Source organism: Homo sapiens, chromosome 13, assembly GCF_000001405.40.
Source record: "Homo sapiens chromosome 13, GRCh38.p14 Primary Assembly".
NCBI classification, from domain to species: Eukaryota; Metazoa; Chordata; class Mammalia; order Primates; family Hominidae; genus Homo; species Homo sapiens.
In genome coordinates, this window is record NC_000013.11 from 41928832 (window position 1) to 41949158 (window position 20327).

Below are 20327 nucleotides of genomic sequence, written 5' to 3' on the forward strand. Positions count from 1 at the left end.
AAGGGAAAAAAAAAAGAGAAGACTCAAATAAATAAAAAGTGAAAGTAAAGACATTACAACAGATGCCTCAGGAATAAAAAGGAACATAAGGGACACAAATAAATGGAAAATATCCCATGTCCATTAATATTGTGAAGATGTATATACTATCCAAAGCAGTATACAGATTCCATGCAATACCTTTCAAAATCCCAATGGCATTCTTCACAGATAGAAAAAACAATCCTAAAATATATGTGTAAAAATACAAAAGATCTCAAATAGCCAACATTTCTGAGAAAGAAAAACAAACTTGGAAACATCACACTTCTTGACTTTAATTTTTTTTTTTTTTTTTTTTTTGAGATAGGGTCTCACTCTGTCACTCAGGCTGGAGTGCAGTGGCACAATCATAGCTCACTGCAGTCTCAACCTCCCAGGCTTAAGCAATCCTCCCACCTCAGTCTCCCAAGTAGCTGGGGCTACAGGTGTGTGCCACCACATCCAGCTAATTAATTTTTTTATAGAGACAGGGCCTCACTATGTTGCCATGGCTGATCTTGAACTCCTGGGCTAGAGCAATCCTCCTGCCTTGGCCTCCCAAGGTACTGGGATTACAGGCATGATCCACAGCACTCAGCCCTGTGTTACAAATTATGTGTGTATCAAAATATCACACTTACCCCAGAAATATGTGCAACTAGTATGTATCAGTTTTTAAAAAGGTATGATACTGGCAAAAAAAAGACAGACACATAGACCAGTATAACAGCATAAAGAGCCTAGAAATAAATTCAAACATATACAGTCAACCAATTTTTGACAAGGGCATCAAGGACCCAATGGGGAAAGGATAGTCTCTTCAATAAATGGTGCTGAGAAAACTGGATTTCCACAGGCAAAAGAATGAAATCAGACCTTTAACCTATACCATATACAAAAATCAACTCTAAATGTAAGACCTGAAATATAAAATTCCTAGGAAAAAAGCTCCTGGACATTGGCCTTGGCAATGATTTCTTTTTTATTATCTCAACCAAAAGCTCAAACTACAAAAGCAAAAACAAATAAGTGAGACTACATAAAACTAAAAATCTTTTGCACAGCATAGAAAACAATCAACAAAATGAAAAGGTAACTTATCAATTAGGAAAAAAACATTTGCAATCCATATATCTGGTGAGGGGCTAATATCCAAATTTATAAAGAATTCATATAATTCAATAGTAGAAAAACAACCCAATTTAAAAATGGGCAAAGGATTTGAATTCTCCAAAGAAGGTGTAAAAATGGCCAACAGGTATATGAAAAGGTGCTCAACATCATTAAATCAGGAGTCAGGGAAATACAAATCAAAACCACAATGAGATACCACCTCACATGTGTTAGCACGGCTATTATCAAAAAATCAAAAGATAAATGTCGGCAAGGGTGTGGAGAAAAGAGTGCGCACTGTTGGTAGACATGTAAATTGGTACAGCCATAATGGAAAACAATGTGGCCATTTCTAAAGAAATTAAAACTAGAAATACTATATGACTCAGCAATTCTTCTGGATATATACCCAAAGGAAATAAAATCACCTCATAAAGATATCTGTACTCCATGTTCGTTGAAGCACTATTCACAATAGCAAAGATACGGAAACAACCAAAATGTCAATGGATAAATGAATAAAGAAACCATGATACAGGTTGAGCAGCTCTAATCCCAAAATCATTAATTCAAAATACTCTAAAATCTGAAATGTTCTGAGTGTCGACATGACACCACAGGTGAAAAATTCCACACATTTGACTGCATGTGATAGGTCGCAGTCAAAAAGCAGGCATTCAACACCCAATTTACTAAGCATCCCCAAGGGAAAAACAGAACTACCTTCAGGCTACGTGTATAAGATATACATTAAACACAACTGGACTTCATGTTTAGAGTTGGGTCCCATCCCCGCAATGTCGCAAATATTCAAAAATTTTTAAAAATCTGAAATGCAAAATAACTCTGGTCCCAAGCATTTCAGATAAGGGATGGTCAGCTTGTATATCTACACAATATTTAGGCCAGGCACGGTGGCTCACGCCTGTAATCCCAGCACTTTGAGAGGCCGAGGCGGGCGGATCACGAGGTCAAGAGATTGAGACCATCCTGGCCAACATGGTGAAACCCCGTCTCTACTAAAAATACAAAAATTAGATGGGCATGGTGGCGCACGCCTGTAGTCCCAGCTACTCAGGAGACTGAGGCAGGAGAATCGCTTGAACCCGGGAGACGAAGGTTGCAGTGAGCCGAGATTGCGCCACTGCACTCCAGCCTGGGCAACAGAGTGAGACTCCGTCTCAGGGGAAAAAAAAAAAAAAAAAAAGAATATTTATTATTCAGCCTTTAAAAAGAAGGAAATCTTACCACTTGCCACAACATGAATGAAGTTGGAGGACATTATGCTAAGAGAAATAAACCAGACCCAGGGTTAAAAAAAAAAAAAAAAAAAAAAAAACCCCTACATGAGCTCACTTATATGTGGAATCTGGTTGGGGCGGTGGGGTGCAGGGGGAGTAAAAAACACAGAGATACAGAAAAAAAACATTGGTTACCAGGGGTAGGGGTGGGTAGGAAATGGGGAGATACAGGTCAGAGTATTTAAATAGCAGATATGTAAGATGACCAAGTCTAGAGATCTAATGTACAATATGAGGACTATAAGTAATAAAACTGTACTGTGAAATTGTATTGAAATTCCTCCTAAATGAGTAGTTTTTAGCTGCTTTTGCCAAACCAAAAAAAACATGAGTAACTATGTGAGATGATGGATATGTTAATTTGCTTCACTATAGTAACCATTTTACTATCTATATATATCTCATAACATCATGTTATATGTTACATATAAAAAATTAAAAAAAAAACTAACACATGGGCAAAGAAGAAATTAAAAGGGAAATTACAAAGCTTTTTGAACTGAATGAAAGTGAAAACAATGTATCAAAAATTTTAGCATTCCACTAAAGCTGTACTTGGGGAAAATTTTACAGCACTAATTGCCTATCCTGAGAAAACTGAAGTGTTTCCAATTAATGGCTTCAGCTTCTGCCTTAAAAGACTAGAAAAAGAAGAGAAAATGAGATCCAAAGAAAGAAAATAATATTCATCATAGCTTAAAAATCAATGCAATAGAAAACAAAAACACAAAGAAAAATGAATGAAACCAAAAGCTTGTTCTCTGAGACTAACAATAAAATTGACAAACCTCTGGTCAGACTATTAAGAGAGAGAAGACACAATTCACCAACATCATGAATGACAGAGAGACAGACAGACAGAAAATACAGATACTTCAGATATTAAAAGGATAATAAGTGGATATTGTTAAAAAAAAAACACTTATGCTAATGTATTCCACAACTTAGAAGAAATGAACAAAGTCCTTAAAAGAGTCAGCTCCTTTTTTAGTTGACACAATTAGGGATAACTTGAATGACTATATCTATGAAAGAAACTGAATTTACAGTTAATAACCTCCCGAAAAGAAAACCCTGGGCCAAGATGGCTTCACTGATGAATTCTACCAAACATTTAAGAAAAAATATCAATTTTATACAAATTCATTCAGAAAATTGAAGAGGAGGAAATTATTCCCAATTCATTCTATGAGGTCAGTATTACCCTCATATCGAAATCTGACAAAGACATGACAAGTAAGGAAAGCTGCAGATCAATATCCTTCATAGAGATGTACAAATCCTAAACAAAATGTTCACACACTGAGTCCAATAATATATAAAAAGACTCACACATTGTTACCAAGAGGGTCTTATCCCAGGAATGAGAAGTTGAAAAGTTAGCTTAACATCTGAAAATCAATCAATGTAATTCACCACATTAATAAACAAAAAAGAAAAAGAAAAAAAAACACAAGATCATATCAAAAGACACGGAAAAAGCACTTGATGACATCCAACATCTCTTCCAGATTAAAAACTCTAAGCAAACTATGAATAGAAAAAAACGTCCTTAACTTGATAAAGAACATCCTAAACCTTTACCTAACCTACTTAAAAATGAAAGACTAAAAACCCTTTCCCCCAACATCCGGAATAAGACGTTCTCTCTCATAACTTCTATTCAACATATTTTAATGTTTTATATAATAAATTACATATTAAAGAGATTTTAGCAAGTACAATAAGGTAAACACATAAAAGAAATCAGAAACATCCAGATTGGAAAGGAAAAAGTAGAGCTGTCTTTATTTATGGACATGATTGTTTATATAGAAAATGTGATGCAATCTACAAAAACAAGCTCTAGAACTAATAAGCGAGTTTTGCACGGCCTCAAGATTCAAGATTAGTATACAAAAATCAACTGTACTTCTATGTTTAAGTTAAAAAGACAATATCATTTACAATAACATCAAAAAGTATGAAATACTCAAAGCATAAAGCTGACAAAACATATGCAAGACCTGTACACTGAAAACAATACAACATTGCTGAGAGAAATTAAAGATCTAAATAGAGAAATATATCTTGTTCATGAGTTGGAAGTTTCAATAATATTAAGATAGCAATTATCTCCAAAATGATCTACAGATTTAATGCAATCCCCATTAAAAATCCCAGCAGGCTTTTTTGTTGTTTTATAAATTGACAAGTTGATTACAAATCACATATAGATGCAAAGAACTTAGAATAACCAAAACAACTTTTTAAAAGAACAAAGATGGAGAACTAACATTATCTGATTTCCAGACTAATTGTAAAGCTACAGTAGTCAAAACAGTGAGGCACTGATGTCAAGACAGAAAAATAGATCAATGGAACAGAACAGAGTCTAAAAACAGACTCACAATACACACAGGCATCAGACTTCTGACATAACTACAAAGGCAATTCAGTGAAGAAAGGATAGTCTTGTCAGGAAATGGAGCTGAAATAACTGGATATCCATATGCAAAAAATAAACTTTGACCCATACCCTATGCCACATACAAGAATTAACTCAAAAAAGGATGACAGACACAAATGTAAAATGCACAAGTACAACTACATCTAGAAAAAAATGAGAAAAGAAGTCTTTGTGACCCTCGGTTAACAAAGATTTTTTAGGATTTCTTAGGTGACACCAAAAGCACAATCCATAAAAGTAAAAACTTAGTAAGTTGGACTTCATTAAAATTTAAAACTCCTGCTCTTCAGAGAACACTATTAGGAGAATAAAAAGATAAGTCATAGACTAGAATAACATATTTGCAAATCTTATATCTGATAAAGTCCTTATATCCAGACTATATAAAGAAAAAGCAACTCAAAAAAAAAAAAACCACAAACAGCCCACCCAAAATGTAGGCAAAGATTTGACCAGACACTTTACAAAAGATATAAAGATGATAAATAAACACAGAAATAGATGCCTAACATCTTTAGTCACTAGGAAATGCAATTTAAAATCACTGTGAGATACTACTACATAACTATTTTAATGGTTAAAATTCAAAAGTCTGACCACACCAAGAGCTGGCAAGAATATGGAGGAACTGGAACTCTGATACACTGCTGGTGGAAATGTAAAATGATACAACCACTGTGGAAAACAGAATGGCATTTCTTAAAAAGTTAAACATCTACCGCATGATGCAGGTATTTACACAAGAAAAAAGAAAGCCTATGTCCATACAAAGACTTGTACATCAATGTTGAGAGCAGCTTTATTTCTAAGAGCCTATAACAACCCAAATGTCTACCAACATGTGGATATAGAAACAAATTGTAATATATCCATACAATGGAATACCACTTAGAAAGAAAAAAACTCAAAATCATTATGCTGAGTGATAAAAGCTAGACAGAAAAGTATATATGTTGTATGACTCCATTTATATAAAATTCTAGAAAATCCGAATAAATCTACAAAGCAGATTAATGATTCCTAGGCAATGGAGGAACCAGGAAACATTACAAAGAGGCACAAGTAAGCTTTTTGGGGAGATAAATTTATTTGATCAGTATTTTGATTATAGTAATGTTTCCTGGTTATATACATATGTAAAAACATCAAATTATACATTCTAAATATGTGCAGTGTATTGCATGTCAGTTATACCTAATAATACTGTTTTTAAAAATTAGAATTACATATATTATTAATAGTGTCTATTTAGGCTTATGGACAATTTTGGTTTTATCTTTTGTGTTTTTCAATGTTTTCCAAGTTTTTATGTTGATTATGTTTTATATTTGTAATAGGAACAAAAATTTATACTTCTTATGTTTTGAAAAACCATACTGCAAAGTAATAACAGCCATACTGGAAGCAAAGAACTGACATGCACGAAAGGAGCAATATGATTGGTGACATACCTCAGGGTAGTGTGGCTGGTCAAGAGATCACAATTTAATATCCAAAGTTCAACTTGCAGCTCAGCTTCCTAAAGTGCTTATGTATTAGGCATTGCTAAATTATAATTTGCTGAAGGCACCTTTGTTAGGCTTAGTATAGCTAGTCATATTTATGACAATGACAACCACAAACATAAAATAAAACCAAGGAATGAACTTTTGTTATGAGCACATCTCAAAAGAACCAAGAATTTTCAGGTCCTATAAAATGAGTCCAAATTTCTTAAACATAAAGCATGAACTTATTTTTGTGGGTCAGGTCATAGAAAAAGCGGTTAGAACTTATAATAGATGTATATGTTAATAAAAGTTGCATTTAAACATGAGGTTTTTATTAGCTATTTTAAAAATTACAAATGTAGTACATACTTACTATAATTTTAAAAATTCAAAAATGTAAAAAGAAAAATATATAAATGGTCTTTTTCAAGCACCACTCCTAACCCAATGCCCTACAAGGAAGTCAAAGTTAAGAGCCTGCAGTGCTCCTCCCACACTTCTCTCTAAACACAGACAGACATGTAATAGACCTATAAAGGTGCTTCAAATTGTTCGAGGTTTTTTTTTTTTTAACAATAGTGGTATCATATCTTATATGACACTCTGAAATCTGTACTATTTTGCTTAACTATAACACTCTCTAGGTACAAAGATGTAAGTCTAATTTATTCTTTTTTAATAGCCACAGAAGATTCCATAATGTGGGTATACAATAATTTATTCAACGGCTCCTCCACTGATAGACTCAGGTTGCTTCTACTTTCTATCTCTACCACAAACACCAAAATGCTGTAATACATAATATGTACATTTATCCTTTTTTAGGTACTGATTTTTTCATAATGGATAAAGCATAAAAAAGAAATGTCAGAAGATGTACTTTTTATTTTAATCACTACTCCAATATTACTTTCTAAAGAAGTCATATGAACTCATATTTCTCCCAGCAATGTATGAAAATGCCATTTCCCTGAAACTATATAGGTATTGGACATTACGATATTTTTTAATTTTGGCCCAAGTGATGTATGAAAGTTTGCTATCTTGCTATATAATTTCCATCTCTCTAGCTATTAAGCAGGGTTAGAACACACGTTCACATGTTTATTGTTCATTTGAATTTCCTCTTTTATGTTGTGCCTGTTTAAATCCTTCATTTATTTTCTATTGGATCACATGGTTTTTCTCATCAATTTACATGAGATACTTGTATATTAAGTGAGTTATTTCTCTATCATTTGTGTTATATAGGCATTAAAAATGTGATTTTTAAGTTAAGGGTTTACTATTTGAATTCATTTTCTCATTTAAACAATGTCTTTAATGGTGACTAAATTGCCACATGGATCCACAGAAGCCTATTTAGCACATTACATAGCTCGAAAATTGTACATCTGGGAGTAGAGGGCATTGGGGAGATGTTGGTTGAAGGATACAAAATTTCAGCTAGGAGAAATAACTTCAGAAGATCTATTGTACAATATAGTGACTATAGTTATTAACAATGTATTGCATACTTGAAAATGGCTAAGAGAATAGATTTTAAATGTTCTCACCACAAAAAAGATAACTATGTGAGGTAACAGACATGTTAATTAGCTTGATTTAGCCCTTCCATAATATATACATATATCAAAACATTTTGTACACCATAAATACAGTCATGCACCACATAATGACGTTCCAGGCAATGATGGATTGCATATTAGATGATGGTCCCATAAGATTATACTGGAATTGAAGCATTCCTATCACCTAGTGATGTCATAGTGTCATAACACTGTAGTTAATGCATTACCTTTTCAATGTTTCAATACACAAACACTTACCATTGTGTAACAATTGTGTTACAACTGTCTACAGTATTCAGTACAGTAACATGCTGTATAGGTTTGTACCCTAGGAACAATAGGCTGTACCATATAGCCTAGGTGTTTAGTAGGCTATACCAGCAGTCACCAACCTTTTTGATACCAGGGAAGATAATTTTTCCACAGACTGGGGGGAGGGAAATGGTTTCAGGATGATTCAAATGCATTACATTTATTGTGCACTTTATTTCTCTTATTATTACATTGCAATATATAATTAAATAATTATACAACTCACCATAATGTAGAATCAGTGGGAGCTCTGAGCTTGTTTTCTTGCAACTAGACAGTCCCATCTGGGGGTGATGGGAGACAGTGAGAGATCGTCAGGCATTAGGTTCTCATAAGGAGCGCACAACCTAGATCCATTGTATGCACAGTTACCAGTAGGGTTTGTCCTCCTATAAGAATCTAATGTCACCACTGATCTGACAGGAGGCGGATCTCAGGTGGTAATGCCAGCAAGGTGGGGCAGCTGTAAATACAGATGAAGCTTTGCTCGCTTGCCTGCTGCTCACGTCCTGTTGTGCAGCCTTGTTTCTAATAGGCCACAGACCAGTACTGGACCCATCAGTTATACCATGTAGGTTTGTGTAAGTACACACTGTGATGTTACAAGGATCAATGAAATCACTTAATGATGCATTTCTCAGAAGACAACCCTGTCATTAAACAACACATAACTGTATATACAGTTTTTGTCAATTAAAAAATAAATTAATTTTTAAAATTATACATCTGCAATGAAAGTTGCAGAAAGCAACAAGAGGAATTAAGCAGAAAATAAAAAGTAATAAAATGCAGCCAGCCATGGTAGCTCACACCTGTAATCCCAGCACTTTGGGACAACGAGGTGGGCAGATCACCTGAGGTCATGAGTTTGAGATCAGCCTGGCCAACACGGTGAAACCCTGACTATACTAAAAATACAAAAATTAGCCAGACATGGTGGCACACGTCTGTAATCCCAGCTACTGGGGAGGCTGAGGCAGGAGAATCACTTGAACCTGGGAGGCAGAGGTTGCAGTGAGCCGAGATCGCCACTGCACTCCAGCCTGGGTGACAGGGTGAGACTTGGTCTCTTTCAAAAAAAAAAAAAAGGTAATAAAATGCATCAAAAATATTGAATCCTTCTTGAATATGGTGCCTGGGAAAAAGAAGATAAAAGAAAAAGTAGGCACACTGGATAAAGATTGCTATAGAGACTCTACAGGATACTTCAGAACACGTTCAAGGGCTTTAAACGTTGATGAGCCTCTTCCTTTTAAGGACTCTATTCTTAAAAATACATCTAGGCCAGGTGCAGTGGCTCACGCCTGCAATCCCAACACTTTGGGAGGCCAAGGCAGGCAGATCATGAGGTCAGGAGTTTGAGACCAGCCTGGCCAACATGGTAAAACCCCGTCTCTACTAAAAATACAAAAATTAGCCAGGCGTAGTGGCACGTGCCTGTAGTCCCAGCTACTCAGGAGGCTGAGGCAGGAGGATCGCTTGAACCCAGGAAGCAGAGGTTGCAGTGAGCCAAGATTGCGCCACTGCACTCCAGCCTGAGTGACAGAGTGAGACTGCGTCTCAAAAAAAAAAAAAATACATCTAAAGAAATCTCAAAGAAAATTCTTTCATAATGAGAGGCAATTAATCCAACTATTGAAAATAAGGCAGATCTTCAGTAGTGGCAGCCCTGCATCTTTGATTTTTTCCCAAGCTCTAACTCTATTAAGTAAGGGACTCTTAGGTAACACTTTCCCAGTGAAGTTTTGTGTAATTTTTGTCACTAATTCACTAAAATTGACAAATAGCTGCAATGATGTTCTATATTATCTATATTTACACAAAAATCAGTTTTTCCATGCTATCATTTATGACACTGATGAATTTCTCAAACCTCAAAATTATTTACAAACTAAAGGAAAAAATTCTCTCCTCCTGTGGATTTTATGTCAAAACTCACCATTTAAAAGCACAATGTTGTAATTCTTACAGAAATCTTTGTGGGCCCTAATTGCTTGGATAAGAGTTCAGTGTGTCCAGTAAACCTTAAATGGCCTCATGTATAATTGGTCTACCAACTGCAACAAGATTATGTAAGCAAGCAGAAATATAACTCTGAGGTCAGGTTGAAAGTTATCTATTGAAAACTTGCTATGCTGGAGCACAACCTCGTGAGGCAAACCCTGGAAGAAATACCATTTTTGATACACTATAGTTTAACTTCAAGCACAAAAGCATGAAAGAATCCCTTTTTGAAAACTGCCAAATTCATCTAAGCCTTAAGATTCCGTTTTCACATAGAAAAGTAAAAAAGCATTTATCCACTTCAACACTTACAGGTGAGAGACTTGGGACTAAGATGATAAATGGAAGTTATAATGATCAAGGCAGGAGGTAACAAGACCTAGATCATAAAAAAAAAAACTGAAGAGTAATCCAACTCTCATGTCTATGATGTGCCAGATGCTAGATGCTGCACTGGGGAAGATGTCCTGCTGTGCCCAATGCTGTGCCCAATGCTGTGAAGACAGAAGCAATTCAAAAGAGAAGTTGACAGCTGCCTGTAGACTATACATATTTATTATTTCAGGTGGTCAATGAATTAAGAAATTTTACTTTGATGAGATAATACTGCTTTTGTGTAGTTTTGCATTGAAGTTTAGATTTCCAGCTAAGAATATTTCTAGTCTTAAGCATCAGCCACTTAGCAGGATTTCTACCATTCTATTAAATTTTAAATATGAATATCAGTTCATATTTCAACATTGTGATTTTTATTATTTCTTCATTACTGTAAGATAATAGTGATTCTCCGTGCTCTAAACAATAAATTTGATAAAGATAGAAATAAAATAGCACTGTCATGCCTCAAGTAATTCAGTATTTTTCAATAATCTTTCACACTTTTAAATTCCAAAAGAATTTTCTAACACACTGTTCTTCTCATTCCAGGACTTATTCTCAGGAAAATCAAGAGTAGCTAGTAAATAGCTAGAGACATCGTAGCAGACTGTAAAAGGAAAACCAAACTGAAGTCAGGAAATCTGGGCTTTGCTACTAATTAATCAGTCTTCTGACCTCCTTCTCTGGTCCTACTTTCCTGGCTATGAACTGAAAGTTTCAGAGAGGATAATAATTGCTGAAGTCCCTTTCTTCAATGTCTATCATTTTATGTTTCACTTGAAAAGTGAAAGTCTATCATTTTATGTTTCACTTGAAAATATTAAATATCTAAAAAGCAATAATCTTTTTAGAATTAGGTAAATCAAAGCATAAATACAGGAAGAAAAGTAAGAGGGTATCAAACTTCAACAAAACACCATTGCCAAAGTACTTTAAAATACTTTTTAAACTTCAAAACAGAAAAAAAAAAAGTCCATCAAAATTCTCTCATAATCCAAAGCCATAATCTCTAATCAATCAAGCAACAGCCACAGTGAAGCCAAAGAACTATAATTCACTCATTTTGGAAACAGTCCCTGAGAGAGGAAGAAAAAGTTCAACAAATACAATATTTGAAAACAATACAGTAAATGAATGCACAAAAACATGTATTATGCAAGACAATTTATCTGTCTAATCAATATGTAGCAACTGCATAATGCATATGTGGCTAAAGATTTTAGTTGATGTAGCTCAGTCACTTCTCTTATTTCAAGTTCATCAACTCCTTAGCCGAATTTTTCTTACAAATGGACACAGTTGCTCATAAGATTAGTAGAAACAATGCAACAATTTACTACTGGATAAAATATATGGTACCATCATCATCTTGATGTACAAAGGTTAATAGATGAGGAATACTTATATTGTGATTATGGTAGGAATAATGATGAATGAATAGCAAGAAAAGAAAATGCAAATTGGGTCTACAGGCTATCCAAATGCTTTCAATATTAACTCTTCAGGTAAATTTCAAAGAGCAAGCTACTAATAACAAAAAACAAACAAAAAGTTTTGATTACCTAGAGGGTGAATGAAAACTATAATAAAAGTATGTAAACAAGAAAATGTGGTGATTTTTGGAGGTTTTTTGATGACTTGCTCTCAGCCAGTCACTGTATTGCTCCTCAGTCATTTGCAAAATACTAAAATACATTCACTCAAAGCCTATGCTTTTAAAGTGTGTATTATTGCTACGATCTATTAAATCCTTAAAGCTAATATAGATAATACAGTGAATTCTCTCACTTAAGAAGATTCCCAATATAATTAAGCATTTGTGACTATGACAAGTACTTCAGCTGACCCCAGATATAATACGGCACCTTAGAAGCTAAAAGAAGGAATGACTAATGCTATCCTCTGTTGAACGCTATCAGGCAATGACAATGCTTCACGTCTAAGTGAGACTGAAAATGCCAACATTCTTGCTACACTGCAAACACAGTATATTTGATCTCTGAAGGAAACTGAAGCTTATTTGAAAAGCCTACGGCCATTTGTAATCCTGCAAACAACCTAAATTAAAAATCAAATTTAGATGAAATGCATACAGAATTTATTTATTAAGAACAAGACTAAATGAAGACTAAAATATTTTTAGCATATCTCTTCAGCATAATCATAGCAGCCCCTAGTAATCCCCATACTCAACAGTGTCACAGGCACAGAATAATGGAAAACGAAAAGGAACAAGAACCAAACCACATTTATTGAGCACTAAGCACCAGGCAGTATCCTACACATTTCATATATGCTATTTGATTTAATCATTATAATATATCTGTGAAGTTGAAACAATCACCCCTATACAGTCAAGGAGGCTCAGAGCAGTGAAATAACCTGCAGAAACTGGCACTGCTAGAAAGTAGTACAGCCAAAATTTTAAACATTAATTTCCACCCCAGCAATCATTTTCCTACAGAACTCAAATTACATAAAAGTTTTCCTATTGTCTGTCAAGATTGGATATTATCCCTTGCCTCTCAAGTTTAATGTAAAACATTAGCTACACTCATAATAAGAGAAGACCCAGAAAGCAGGAAAAGTGCCCTTTTCCCCCCAATTATCATGTGCCCATGGCATGTAAGTTATTATACATCTATTTTGTTAATTTTTCTCCAGACAAGTGTAACAACTTGGTGAAGAATTTATGTCATTAGTCTTACCTCTGGAAAAGAAAACCTATTAAAATAACACACTTAGGCATAACCATTAAATAATGAATATTAAAAATAAATATTCCCAACTCCCACTTCCAGTTAGGATGAAATGAGTTGCAAGAGAATTTTATTTCCAAACTAACAACCAGAATAAACCAGCTAATCTATAAAAATCACAGTTTTCTAAAACTCATCACACAGCTAACAAAACAAAGAAGCCTACATGAACTAAATTCTAGAAAAGACTGAGCCTTTTCAAGGAAAGAATAGACCCGCAGCTAACTTTCACCCCTGGTAGAATGGCAGGAGGAGAAACAATCTGCATAGATGTGTCAGGAGAAACAAACTGAACTTTCAGCAAACTTATGATGGCCACGCATGGGCAGACATAATGTACCGAGAAGTCCTAGCCACATAGAAAACCTGCATCCACCCACCTACTCCTTCCCAACAGTCCTTACAAGTACACAGGGATGTACACTACAGACCAAATACAGGGCAGGAGCTGAGACATATTCCTCCTGAAGCATGCTGGACCTTTCCCTAGTGCAAGGCAACATCCCACTAAAAGGCCAGTGGTAGGAGAGAAGAGGTGACAGAGATTCCTCCTAGGCACTCCAGGTCTTTATCCAGTGCAAGACAGCAGTTCCTTAAGGATGGTACTGGGGCCAGATAGCTGAGATAAATCCCTCAGAAGCACTCTCCACCTTCACTGAAGTGGCCTCTGGAGGCTGAGGGCAGTACAACAAGACAAGAGACAGCTGAGTTGCAGCAAGCAGAATATAAGACTGAATAGCAAAGAGAATTCCCCAGCATTCCAAAAATCTGGCAGCTATACAGCAAAGAGATTTTCACAGACCTCTTTGGCCCCAGGTTTGCCACAGTTTGTGAAGCTGGTGTTAGAAGAGGAACTAAAATAAAAATAAATAAAAATTAATGCTTGGAAATCAATGAAATAACAAATGGACAAGCAAGAGAAAAAAATCAATAGTCAAAAGCTGTTTCCTTGAAAAGTTATTAGCACTGATAAACCCATAGTAAGACTAATTAAAAAGAAAAGGAAAAAACACAAATACAAATTTCCAGTATCAAGAACAAAATAGAGAATTATCACTATAGATTCTACAGATATCACTAATCACTACAGATTCTCAGATATTTAACTAATAAAGGCTATATTATGAAAAAATGGTGCTGATGAATTTAGAAGCAGAGATGTAATAGACCTATCCTTTTAAAACAAAGCAGAATTATAAAATTCTTAGGAAAAAAACACAGAATGTCTTTACAGTCTTGGTGTAGGCCAAGATTTCTGACACAATGAGCACTAACTTTAAAAAATAAATAATCAATAAATTATGTGTAATCAAACTTTCTGCCAACCAAAAGATATCAATGAGAAAATGACTAAGCAAATAGATTGAGAAAAAGTATTCATAATACTTATACATGACAAAGTACTTGGATCCATAATACATAAAAAACTTTTGCAACTCAATAATAAAAAGGCAGACAACTCAATTTTTTTAGTGGGCAACTGACTTTAATATATACTTCACAAAAGTAGAAATACAAAGGGCCAATAAGCACAGAAAAATATCTTGAACATCACTGTTCATCAGAGAAATGCAAACTTACACCACAGTGAGGCTGGGTGCAGTGGCTCATGCCCGTAATACCAGCACTTTGGAGGCCAAGGTGGGTGGATCACCTGAGGTCAGGAGTTCAAGACCAGCCTGGGCCAACAGGGTAAAACCCTGTCTCTACTAAAAAAATACAAAAATTAGCTAGGCAATGTGGCGTGAGCCTGTAATCCCAGCTACTCGGGAGGCTGAGGTAGGAGAATCGCTTGAACCTGGGAGGCAGAGGCTGCAGTGAGCCAAGATTGAGCCACTGCACTCCAGCCTGGGCGACAGAGCAAGACTCTGTCTCAAAAAATAATAATAATAATAATAATAATAATAAATAAATAAACCACAGTGAGAGGACAGGCATTACTGGAATAGAGTAAGGACCTCTGAAAATTCATTCCTTCTTAAAAAAACAATAATAATGGCATAAATTGTCAAACTCAACTTCTTTAGAACTCTGGAAATCAAAAAGTTTTCAACAATCTCATGAGCATTTATGTAAGAAAAGGGGTTAATTCGCCCTAACCCCATCCCCATGTCCCTAGCTCTGTGATTGTTTTTCTTTTCTTTTTTCTTTTATTGAGACAGGGTCTCACTCTGTTGTTCAAGCAGGAGGCATGCAGTTGCACAATCATGGCTCACTGCAGCCTCAACCACAATAAAAAACAATATTTTATTTTTTACAGAAACAGGGTTTTAGTGTCTCACTATGTTGCCCAAGCTGGTCTCAAACTCCTGGCCTCAAGCGATCATCCCACCTTAGCCTCCCAAAGTGCTAGGATTACAGGCGTGAGCCCAATTGTTTTACAACAAACTGTCCATAATCATGGTGAAAACCAGCAGCCTGGAAGTCACTGAAGTGAACAGAACTATACAGAAGCTCCTCAAAAGCCTCAATCCCAAAAAATTATCCCTACTTGACCTGTCTGGCAGCTCCCTGAAATGCTCCATTTTTAGAATTTGTCTTTATTTGATGTACTCAGAGCTACTGTATGCAAACAGCACTAACTCGGGGCATTTGTCAAAAAAAATCAACAATTGTTTAACATCACAGCTGCCTGAGGCAGCAAAACCAGTTGGAGCTAACAAGAGGACAACCAAAAAACTTTAAAGACAGAAACAAAAACTGAAAATGAGATGTTTGCAGAAGGCTTTGAAAAGCTTCAGTGTATGCCTAAGAATCTGGAAGGCCATGCATATATTCAGGAAAATCCTGAGAAGGGCCTAATCTCTCTCTCACCTTCCGCTAATCTTGAGGGTCCACACAAGCAGAAAGAAAAGGTTGAGACACAACTGTAAGCTACCTATGGAGCACTGAAGTCATGTCCAACTTGCACACACAGACTCTCAGCAAAAGCCAAGAGACTTATTGATTCAAGGCATTAAAGAAATCTCCGTTCAAACATTAGCTGACCACTAAGCTAACAAGGCATGACAAAGAACACAGACTTTAAAGAAATAGACTAGGAACATCACTAAAAAAAAAAACAGCAACACAAGGAGCAACCACAAAGCCTGGGAAGGAGAGATTATACTATTTAAAATGTCTACTTTCAGTAACAACAAAATTATAAGAAATTAAGAAATAGGAGAGTATGGCTCATACATACAGAAAAAAGGAGTCAATAAAAACTATCTCTGAGTAAACCAGACATTTGACTAAGTAGAAAAACACTTTAAATCAGCTACCACAAATACATTCAAAGAATTAAAAGAAATCATGTCTAAAGAAGTATGACAACAACGTCTCATGAAACAGAGTACCAATAAAGAGAAATTATAAAACAAGATCCAAATAAAAATTCTGAACTTGAAAACTCTGATTAAATTAACCAGAGGGGCTCAACAACAGATGTGAGCAGGCAGAGGAAAGAATCAGCAAACTTGAAGATTAGTCAGTTGAGATGATCCAATCTAAGGAACAGAAAGAAGAAATTATAAAGAAAAATGAACTGAGTCTCACAGACTTGTGGGGCACCATCAAATCTATCAAATATAATGGGAGTCCTCGAAGGAGAGAGAAAAAAGAGAATAAATAAATAATAATGAAAAATAATAGCCAAAATTTTGCCAACTTCGATGAAAAACATTAATTTCCACATCCCATCCAAGAAGCTCAACAAACTCAAAACAAGGTAAATTCAAAGAAATCTGCACTTAGACACATCCACAGTCAAACTATCAAAAAGCTGAAGAGAGAATCTTGATAGCAGAGAAAAACTGACTTATCATATAAAAAGGATCCTTGTTAAGATTGATAACTGACTTCTTTTCAAAATCTAGGAAGTCCACAAACAGTAAGAAGACATATTCAAAGTGCTGAAAAAAAAAAACCTGTCAACCAAGAATTCTATTTCCAGTAAAATTATCCTTCAAAATACAAAGGAGAAATGAAGACATTTCCAAATTTAAAAAAAAAAAAGTGATAATTCACCACTAGCAAACCTGCCATCTAGAAGATACTTACTAAAGGGCATCCTTCCTTTAAGCTGAAATGAAAGCACACTAGACAGTAACTCAAATCCACATGAAGAAATAAAGATTATCAGTAAAGGGAACTACATAGATAAATAATAATGACAACGTAAGCCTATTTTTGTTTGTAACTCTTTTCTTCTACCTGATTTTAAAAACTTCATAAAGCAATAATTATAAAACTGTGCTGATAAACTTTTAATGTATAAAGATATAGTTTGTATGACAATAATAGCACTGAGGAGCTGGAAGGGAACAGAGCTACATTGGAGTAGTTTATATACTATTGAAACTAAGTTACCATTAATCTAAACAAGATTGTTTTAGGTTAAAGTGTTAATTAGAATCCCTAGGATGACCACTAACAAAATAATTAAAAAAAAAAAAAGAGTAGTAAAAGAAAAAGTGGGCCAGAGTGGAAAGGACAGATTGCAGAGGCATTTAGGGGGTAGAGTCAATGGAACCTTGGGTTAGATGAAAGTGACATATTCTCCCTCAAGAAGCTGACAAAGATTCTCTTCTTGCCCAAACTTTAGTCAGGTTTCTAAACCTTTTCCTAGACACACCTGTGTACTTCCTTGTAAAATCCAGTTGTAGCAAAAGAACGCCATTAAAACAATTTATCCAGAACCCGCCCATCCTCATAATCTAATCACCCTTGATAGCTGATCAGAGTCCTCATCTTCTACAATCCCCCAGGTGATGTCTGATCACCCCAGCCTGTCGTCAGCAAGAATTTTGTTAGGTTGGCTTAGCCAGAATCTCCCTTAACCCTGACATTTCCTCTTAACAATTTTCTATCCACCAACTCCCACACTGTTCCTTGGCTATAAACTACCACTTGCCCATGCTGCATTGGGGGTTGAGCCCAGTCTTTCTCCCCCACTGCAAGACTCATAGTGACAGTCCTGAATAAAGTCTTCCTTACCCGGCTTTAACACATATCATTGATTTATTTTTTCTTTAACAGAGCACATAGTCTAGTGGAAGAATCTGAAGAGTGAACAAAAAGCTATTCTATATCATGACCAATGACTGGAACAAAGAATAGGAGAGGAGAGTGGCATGAGATGAGACTAAGATTAGATCAAGAAATTAATAGCTAAGGATGGACCTTTGTTCCCAAAATACTAAAAACTCATTTAAAGAATTTTGAGAAAAGAAGTGACATGATTTTGGGCAAATAATGATTGCAAGTCATTAGGGAAATACAAATCAGGACCACAATGAGATGTCACTTCACATGTCTGACTATGGCTGTAATAAAAAAGACAAACAATAACAAGTGTTAGTGAGGATGTGGAAAAACTAGAATCCTCACACATTGCTAGTTAGAATGTAACATGGTGTAGGTGATTTGAAAACCATATTGGTGGTCGGGCGCAGTGGCTCATGCCAGTAAACCCAGCACTTTGGGAGGCTGAGGTGGGCGGATCACATGAGGACAGGAGTTTGAGACCAGCCTGATCAATGTGGTGAAACCCCATCTCTACCAAAAAATACAAAAATTGCTGGGGATGGTAACCTGCACCTATAGTCCCAGCTGCTGGAGAGGCTGAGGACCTGGAGGTTGAACCTGGGAGGGGGAGGTTGCAGTGAGCCGACATTGCACCACTGCACCCCAGCCTGGGCCACAAAGTGAGACCCTGTCTCAAAAAAAAAAAAAAAAAAAAAACAAAACAAAACATTTTGGTAATTCCTTGAAATGTTAAACATAGAGTTACCATGTGACCTAGCAATTTATCTTCTAGGTAAAACCCAAGAAAGTTGAAAATATGTCCATATAAAAACTTGCATATGGATGCTTGGAGTGGCAATATTCACAATAGTCCGAAAGTGGAAACAATCCAAATGTCCATCAACTGATGAAAGGATAAGCAAAATGTGGAATATCCACACAATGGAATATAATTTAGCCATAAAAAGCAATGAACTACAGCATCAATAAACCTTGAAAACATTATGCTAAGATAAGCAAGATACAATGGCTACATATCCCATGTATATAAAATGTCCAAAATAGACAAATCTATAGAAACAGAAAGTATATTAGTAGTTGCTAAATGCTGGGAGGGTGGTGGGGGAGAGAGAAGAAAGAAAATGGGAAATAACTATTAATGAGTATAAAGTTTCTTCATGGAGTGATGAAAACGTTAGATAACAGTATGGTTGTACAACTCTGAATAAACTAAAATTACTGAATTGTACAATATGGAAAGGTGAACTTTATGGTATATGAATTATATCTCAATAAAACTGTTATAAACCAAAAACCATGATGAGTTACTTTTTCACACCTGGTAGACTAAGATTAAAAAGACTATGCTGACAAGGATGTAGAACATCACTGTCGGTCAAAGGTAAAATGGTACAACTGCTTTGGAGAATTGTTTGGCAGTGAGTTAAAAAGTTAAACAGGCATCTATAGTATGACATATCAACTCAACTCCTAGATTTTTACTCAACAGAAGTAAAAACTGATAACTACAAGAATTGTACAGGAATGTTCACAGCAGGCTTCAAATGAAAGCCATCCAAATGTCTATCAATAGGAGAATGGATAAACAAACTGTGGTATGTTTATACAATGGAACATTATTCAGGAATTAAAAACAAACTGATAGGTACAGCAACATAGATGAATCTCAAATTAATGCTCTTCATGAGAAAAAAAATACATACACACATACAACCATACCATGTGACTCTATTTATATATAGCTAAAGAACAAGCAAAACTAATCTACCATCATAAAAAAAAAAAAAAAAAAAAAAAAAGAACAGTGATTTCCAGGGCAGGGTAAAGGGGTAGGAACACAAGAGAACATTTGGGATGATTAATGTAATCTTGGTGGTTATACAGGTTTATAAAATTGTCAA

General features: G+C 35.4%; 1 protein-coding gene across 2 annotated transcripts in view, besides 2 other annotated features; it reads right to left on the reverse strand.

Moving 5' to 3' along the window:
- VWA8 (von Willebrand factor A domain containing 8) overlaps positions 1-20327 on the reverse strand; it is a 394275-nt gene that overhangs the window by 361997 nt on the left and 11951 nt on the right. The window lies entirely within an intron of this gene.
- Positions 15843-16343: an enhancer, noted in NCBI's record as "H3K4me1 hESC enhancer chr13:42518810-42519310 (GRCh37/hg19 assembly coordinates)". NCBI's record gives its function as "activates a minimal SCP1, AML or CMV promoter by ChIP-STARR-seq in naive H9 embryonic stem cells {active_cell/tissue: H9 hESC(naive)}" and the evidence as "EXISTENCE:reporter gene assay evidence [ECO:0000049][PMID:30033119]".
- Positions 16344-16844: an enhancer, noted in NCBI's record as "H3K4me1 hESC enhancer chr13:42519311-42519811 (GRCh37/hg19 assembly coordinates)". NCBI's record gives its function as "activates a minimal SCP1, AML or CMV promoter by ChIP-STARR-seq in naive H9 embryonic stem cells {active_cell/tissue: H9 hESC(naive)}" and the evidence as "EXISTENCE:reporter gene assay evidence [ECO:0000049][PMID:30033119]".